General features: G+C 50.2%; 1 long non-coding RNA gene across 4 annotated transcripts; it reads left to right on the forward strand.

Moving 5' to 3' along the window:
• The first annotated feature begins 2,037 nt into the window (after positions 1–2,037).
• Positions 2,038–6,080, forward strand: LOC124901236 (uncharacterized). Of its 4 annotated transcripts, none has more exons than XR_007059391.1 (5): positions 2,038–2,147; positions 2,561–2,622; positions 3,615–3,731; positions 3,865–4,106; positions 5,941–6,080. It is a non-coding gene; the product is annotated as an uncharacterized LOC124901236 (long non-coding RNA). The 4 variants fall into 4 exon arrangements; XR_007059390.1 differs by having other exon boundaries at positions 4,004–4,106; XR_007059393.1 differs by lacking the exon at positions 2,561–2,622 and having other exon boundaries at positions 4,004–4,106.
• The last annotated feature ends 960 nt before the right edge of the window (positions 6,081–7,040 follow it).

Raw genomic sequence — 7,040 nt, forward strand, 5'->3', positions numbered from 1 at the left:
ACATCATGTCATCGATGGTCTTCTCACCTCAGAGCCCCTCACATCATCTCACGGGCACCCTTCTCAGCTCTGAGCCCCTCACATCATGTCATCGATGGTCTTCTCACCTCAGAGCCCCTCACATCATCTCATGGGCGCCTTTCTCAGCTCAGAGCCCCTTACATCATCTCATCAACGGTCTTCTCAGCTCTGAGCCCCTCACATCATCTCATGGGCCCCTTCTCCCTCAGAGCCCCTGACATCATGTCATCAACGGTCTTCTCAGCTCTGAGCCCCTCACATCATCTCATGGGCCCCTTCTCCCTCAGAGCCCCTGACATCATGTCATCAACGGTCTTCTCAGCTCAGAGCCCCTCACATCATCTCATGGGCCCCTTCTCCCTCAGAGCCCCTGACATCATGTCATCAACGGTCTTCTCAGCTCAGAGCCCCTCACATCATCTCATGGGCCCCTTCTCCCTCAGAGCCCCTGACATCATCTCATCAACGGTCTTCTCAGCTCTGAGCCCCTCACATCATCTCATGGGCCCCTTCTCCCTCAGAGCCCCTGACATCATGTCATCAACGGTCTTCTCAGCTCAGAGCCCCTCACATCATCTCATGGGCCCCTTCTCCCTCAGAGCCCCTGACATCATGTCATCAACGGTCTTCTCAGCTCAGAGCCCCTCACATCATCTCATGGGCCCCTTCTCCCTCAGAGCCCCTGACATCATGTCATCAACGGTCTTCTCAGCTCAGAGCCCCTCACATCATCTCATGGGCCCCTTCTCCCTCAGAGCCCCTGACATCATCTCATCAACGGTCTTCTCAGCTCTGAGCCCCTCACATCATCTCATGGGCCCCTTCTCCCTCAGAGCCCCTGACATCATGTCATCAACGGTCTTCTCAGCTCAGAGCCCCTCACATCATCTCATGGGCCCCTTCTCCCTCAGAGCCCCTGACATCATGTCATCAACGGTCTTCTCAGCTCAGAGCCCCTCACATCATCTCATGGGCCCCTTCTCCCTCAGAGCCCCTGACATCATGTCATCAACGGTCTTCTCAGCTCAGAGCCCCTCACATCATCTCATGGGCCCCTTCTCCCTCAGAGCCCCTGACATCATGTCATCAACGGTCTTCTCAGCTCAGAGCCCCTCACATCATCTCATGGGCCCCTTCTCCCTCAGAGCCCCTGACATCATGTCATCAACGGTCTTCTCAGCTCAGAGCCCCTCACATCATCTCATGGGCCCCTTCTCCCTCAGAGCCCCTGACATCATCTCATCAACGGTCTTCTCAGCTCTGAGCCCCTCACATCATCTCATGGGCCCCTTCTCCCTCAGAGCCCCTGACATCATGTCATCAACGGTCTTCTCAGCTCAGAGCCCCTCACATCATCTCATGGGCCCCTTCTCCCTCAGAGCCCCTGACATCATGTCATCAACGGTCTTCTCACTCAGAGCCCCTCACATCCCATGCTGTCCCTCAGCTCCTGTGAGGCCCCCGTGTGCTCCTATAAAGACAGTCAATCAGGCTTCCTCCAATGCGCCACAGACAGGATCGTGCGGCTCACCTTTCTTCACTTTTGCAAGGATAACTTCTGATGTGCTCACAGAGGCCCCTATTTCCTTCTTTCATCCAGTCTGATACACTGAGTGTGTGGAAGAAGTCAGGCCTGTCGGACCTCAGTGGTCATCTATTGAATTCTGCTTTGCACGCTTTAGCTGGTGGTCTCACTGTATCCTGAGATGCACTTTTTTGGGAAAGTGGACATGGTGTTCCCCTGTTCTCCTTCATTGGCCCTAAAGGTTTCCCATTCCTTTTAGGCAAAAATGCAATGTACACAACTATTCCCATTTATTAATTTCTATGTTCCAGAAACTGTCCTAGACACTTTATATAAGCTCACTTAAGTCTCATGACCATCCTGTGAGGTTTATATTCTTGCACCCATTTTACAGATGAGGAAATAGGGTCAGTAGGTTGATTAACACAGCTGAATGGCAGAGCTGGATTCGATCTGAGGTCAGCCTGACTTTTCCTTCAGGATGATGCGCTGCTTCCTCTGATGAAGGATCAGGGATGCAGAATGGGACTGATGTACCTGTTCAACCATCCCACTCATTCTCCTCACTTTGCATGCTCTTCTCGGGGCCATCTACAGACAGGTGAGGGGCCCCCTACAGACAGGTGAGGGGCCCCAGGCAGACAGCTCCTTGGGACACTGAGCTCCACATTGAAATGTTACTCAAATGAATGCGCAGAGGAGCTGTGAGTGAGAAAGTAAGCCCTCCAGCGTGAAGAGCCCCGGAAAAGCCACCCTTGCTCTGGCACCTGTCATGCAGCCCTCACAGCAGTACTCCCATGGGGTATGGGAGGACAGGGGCACTTCTGTTGGTCTTTCCTTCCTCATGTTCGTCCCAGTAGGGCCTGGACCTGCAGCTGGGGCTTGGCGTCCCCTGGGGCCACAGCCACACAGACCAGCAGACCCAGCCTTGGGCAACTACACTAGCTGGATTAGAAAACTCCAAACATTGCACGGTGTTCTACATCCAGCATTTACTATTTTGTTAATCCGAAGGTAGATGCAAGAAAACACTGGACAGAAAGGAAGGTTCCAGCAGACAGCATCTCTAGCTCTCAGTAGGTAACAGCCTGGAGGACTCTTTGCCACCCCTAGGAAGGCCTGATCGGGGCATCCTTAGGGCTACTCTGTGGAACAGCCCCTTTCCTTTCTCCAGAGAAACCCGGGCTCCTGCTTTGCATCCTGAGAGGCTGAGAGGACCTCTTCCTGTGCATGCCTGAAGTAGAGAATCTTTGAGATGTAGAAAGCTTTCTATATACCAGTCATTTATTCCTGGTGTCCACATGGATTTCAGTCTGATCTGGGCAGAAATGTGCTCTGGGCGTCCCTGTGGAGAACTTTGCAGCAGCCAACTCAACTAGCAGCTAATGAGTTGTCATGTGAGCCTCACACAAAAACCTAGGCATCCAAGTGTGTGTGGTCATGGGGTGGGTAGAAATGGGGGGCAGACAGACACAGAGAGAGAGAAAGAGAGAGAGAGAGAGTTTAACAAGGTGAGCCCCAGGACAGGGATGAGTGTCTGTGGGACCCTTGAGATGGCTGGCTCATGGTGAGTGCTAAGTGCACATTTGTTAACTAAACAAATGAGCCAAATGACAAAAATGACAAAGTGTATTTTGATGCTGCTCAAAATGAGGGACTTATAGAACAAAGATAATGATTTCTGGTGAAATAGCCTAACATACTGACTGCTCTGAAGTCCTGAGTTTAGAAGGGGAGAGATTTGTCATATCCAGCTCCTTGCTACCATTCGGTCCTGAGGCTGAGACAGGACCCCTCGTGTCACATCAGCTGGGGTGCCCTCTGTCCCACCGTGATGTTGACGCCAAGGTGTCCACACCTCAGTGAAAGAATACTACCCTTCTACCAGGACCAAGGGTCTGGGTAAATTCCACTTCAGAATGCAGCCTTCTTTCCTGACAGGCACAGTTATTTTTGTCTTTTCATAACCCAGTTGCAGTAGGTCACACTCATCCTGGGCAATGCATTAAGCAGAGAGTTCTTTCTTATTATGCATTCTTTGGAAAAATAAACTCAATTTCCACTGCAGCTTTTGGAGCATGACGAGGGTGGCCCTGGAAGCTCCAGTTTCTGACTGAACTGAGTTGGTGAGCAGAAGCACATCATCTGCCAGGCCACAAGAGGACAGCAGTGGTTCGAGATCCAGGTCGCTGCTACCTCCTCCGTCAGGCTCCTTCCCCCGCTCCCCACCCCCCGCGCCCCCCTCCCCCGCCCCCACCTCCTGCCGGCATCAGAAGCACCTGCAGGATTTTAGGACTGACTTTGTCATGCTGTTCCAGGATTCTAATTTGCATGGGTCTTTATTGATGAATGTGCTGGAAAAACCCCAGAATGATATCAGCATCCCAAGCTGAAACCGGGCCATGCTTTCCGTCCTTCCAGAATATTCTGACATCACTGTTGTCTCTATTATCACAGACTCACTGAGAAAGTATGAGAAATGATTTACCTAAAAGAAAAACAGGAGCAAGTCCTTTTGTGTCTCCTGGCCCACGTGGTCAGAACTGGGGTAATAATGAAGGTATGGAAGAGAAAATACTCAACATTGCAGACTTGACATTTCCTTATCTTATGTTAGCCCCCTGGTTTTATCAAAATCTAAGAAAACTTTATGACTCATAACTTTCCTTCGTAACACAAGTATTTGACTCAAAAATGTTTATTGCATATTTACTATGTGTTGGGAATAGATGGTATGTGCTAGGAATACAGATACACACAAGCTGCTGTTCCAGGTGGGAGCTGTTCTTGGAATAGGCAGGAGGCAGACATGTGAACTAACGAGTTATAATTCAGCAAGCTGAAGCCAAGCTCAGGCCATGCAAAGGTCCTGTTGGGGGGAGCCCCGGGATGGGGGCACTGTGGCAGGGAGCCCCAGTGGGGGGCCACCGTTAGGATGAACCCAGGGAAACTGTGTCATGGCCAGGTGCTGTGCTGATGCTTTCCATACACGATCCCTTGCAGTTTGCATAGACTCAGGAGGCACGTACCAGGCTTAGACTGTTTCATAGCTGGAACAACTAAGATTCAGGAAAGAGTATCCAGTTGTCCAAAGTCTCCCAACTATTAATAATAAATGGGAGGGCTGAGATGGGAACGCAGGTGCTGACTTGAGAGCCCGGGCACTAACCACCACTGTACACCCCCTTCCCATCCTGGCCTCTGGGCTCCTGATGTGGACTCGTGCTTGCTGGCACCTCCTTCATGCGGTCACTAGAGCCAGAGGTGCAAGCAACAGGAGCTTCCCACTGCTTCACCAACCTGTGCATGCAGGAAGCAGCTTCTAGTCCCTTCTGCAGAGATGGCTGCTGGCAGCCTTAGGGTCGGGGCTCTGCACTGGGAACCCCACCCCTGCCTGGTCTGTGGTCAGGGCTCCTTTGGCCCTGTCAGCCAAAAAGCCATCATCACACCCACCCTGAGCTAAGGCAGGGGCCATGCATTGTTGGTTGTAATATTTCTTTTTTTTTTTTGAGACAGAGTCTCACTCTGTCGCCCAGGCTGGAGTGCAGTGGCACAATCTCAGGCTCACTGCAACCTCCGCCTCCTGGGTCCAAGCGATTCTCCTGCCTCAGCCTCCCGAGTACCTGGGGTTACAGGTGCATGCCACCACGCCTGGCTAATTTTTTTGTATTTTTAGTAGAGACAGGGTTTCACTGTGTTAGCCAGGATGGTCTCAATCTCCTGACCTCATGATCCATCCACCTCGGCCTCCCAACATTGGTTGTAGTATTTATTTTGCCAAGTATCATGCCTGACATGTTCCGTAATAATTCATTATAAATTAACAAATGAGTGACTAGAAGCACACAAATTCTGTTCAATTATGAGAAAAAGTTCCTGGTCTTACTGGTGACCTCCTAAAAGCCCCTCTGTAGGGGACTCTGTGGGTGAGCAATCCATGGTCTCCACATCATTGGAAGATTTTGGCTTCCCATCTTTGATGGACCCACAGAAGGGTTTCATGGTTCCTGACCTCAAGCTTCAGCATGTTGACATCAATTGTGCTGTCTTTCTGGACTTTTCATTAAATTCAATAACATCAAATTATAAGACACAGTAACTATTTCATGGCAGGCTCGCTGTCTTGAAACCATTCTTTTTCATGTTTACTCTCGAAATGAAAAGACAATTCTAGATTTAAATTGAAAGTATCCATTAGCGTCTATGAGTACAAGTGAGTGCAGAGTCCCATGCTTGGCACCTACCAGCCAGCATCATCTCTGGAGGCTGTGATGGGCACAGTGTGTATGCAGCACCGAATCTGTTTTCATAGATCTTCTCCCAGCATATCTCTCAGGCTCGAGAACGCTGTGTATTCAATTCCCTCATTCTTCAAGTCTTTTTTGTTTGTGCAGTATGCTGATGTGAACTGTGACGGCTCTGCAAGACACCTGGCGGAGGTTTCGATGATGCTGAAGTTCTCAATGTTGCCGTATGTCAATAGTTTGATGGAAAAATAAATCTGTGAAGTTTAGAGGTTGGGGATTGGCCCCAATAGTTTTCTTCGTAGCCATGCTCCAGTCCAACCAAGTGATGTAGCCTCAAAAGATTTTCCTGTGTGTACTCTGCACCAAGGAGACAGCACTGCAGTGAGATGTATGAGAGACCATTCAAGTATAGGAAACATCTCTGATTTGATTGTGTCCCACCCCTAGCCATGTCCTGCTGCCCCTTGGCCACCTGCACCCCTGGAAGGTGACCAGATCTGAGCACCTCATATCAAGCCCCCACATTTTTTTTTTTTTTTTGAGACGGTGTCTTGCTCTGTTACCCAGGCTGGAGCACTGGAGTGCAATGGCGCAATCTCACCTCACTGCAACCTCCACCTCCTGGATTCAAGTGATTCTCCTGCCTCAGCCTCCTGAGTAGCTGGGATTAAAGGCACCTGCCACCACGTCCAGCTAATTTTTGTATTTTTAGTAGAGATGGGGTTTCACCATGTTGGTCAGGCTGGTCTCGAACTCTTGATTTTGTGATCCACCCACCTCAGCCTCTCAAAGTTCTGGGATTACACATGTGAGCCACTGCGCCCAGCCCAAGCCCCCACCTTTCTAGGTAAGCTTATGATCACAGCTGATAGTGAGATATGAAGCGGCTGGGCTTCTGGGTCGGGTGGGGACTTGGAGAACTTCTCTTTCTAGCTAAAGGATTGTAAACGCACCAATCAGTGCTCTGTGTCTAGGTAAAGGTTTCTAAATGCACCAATCAGGACTCTGTAAAAATGGACCAGTCAGCACTCTGTAAGATTGATCAATCAGCAGGACATAGGCAGGGCCAAATAAGGAAATAAAAGCTGGCCATCCAAGCCAGCAGCAGCAACCTGTTCAGGTCCCCTTCTCGGCTGCGGAAGGTTTGTTTTTTCGCTCTTCATTGTTGCTGCTCACTCTTTGGGTCTACACTACCTTTAAGAGCCGTAACACTGCGAAGGTCTGCAGCTTTCCTCCTGAAGTCAGTG

The sequence above is a fragment of the Homo sapiens genome, chromosome 6 (assembly GCF_000001405.40).
Source record: "Homo sapiens chromosome 6, GRCh38.p14 Primary Assembly".
Taxonomy (NCBI): Eukaryota; Metazoa; Chordata; class Mammalia; order Primates; family Hominidae; genus Homo; species Homo sapiens.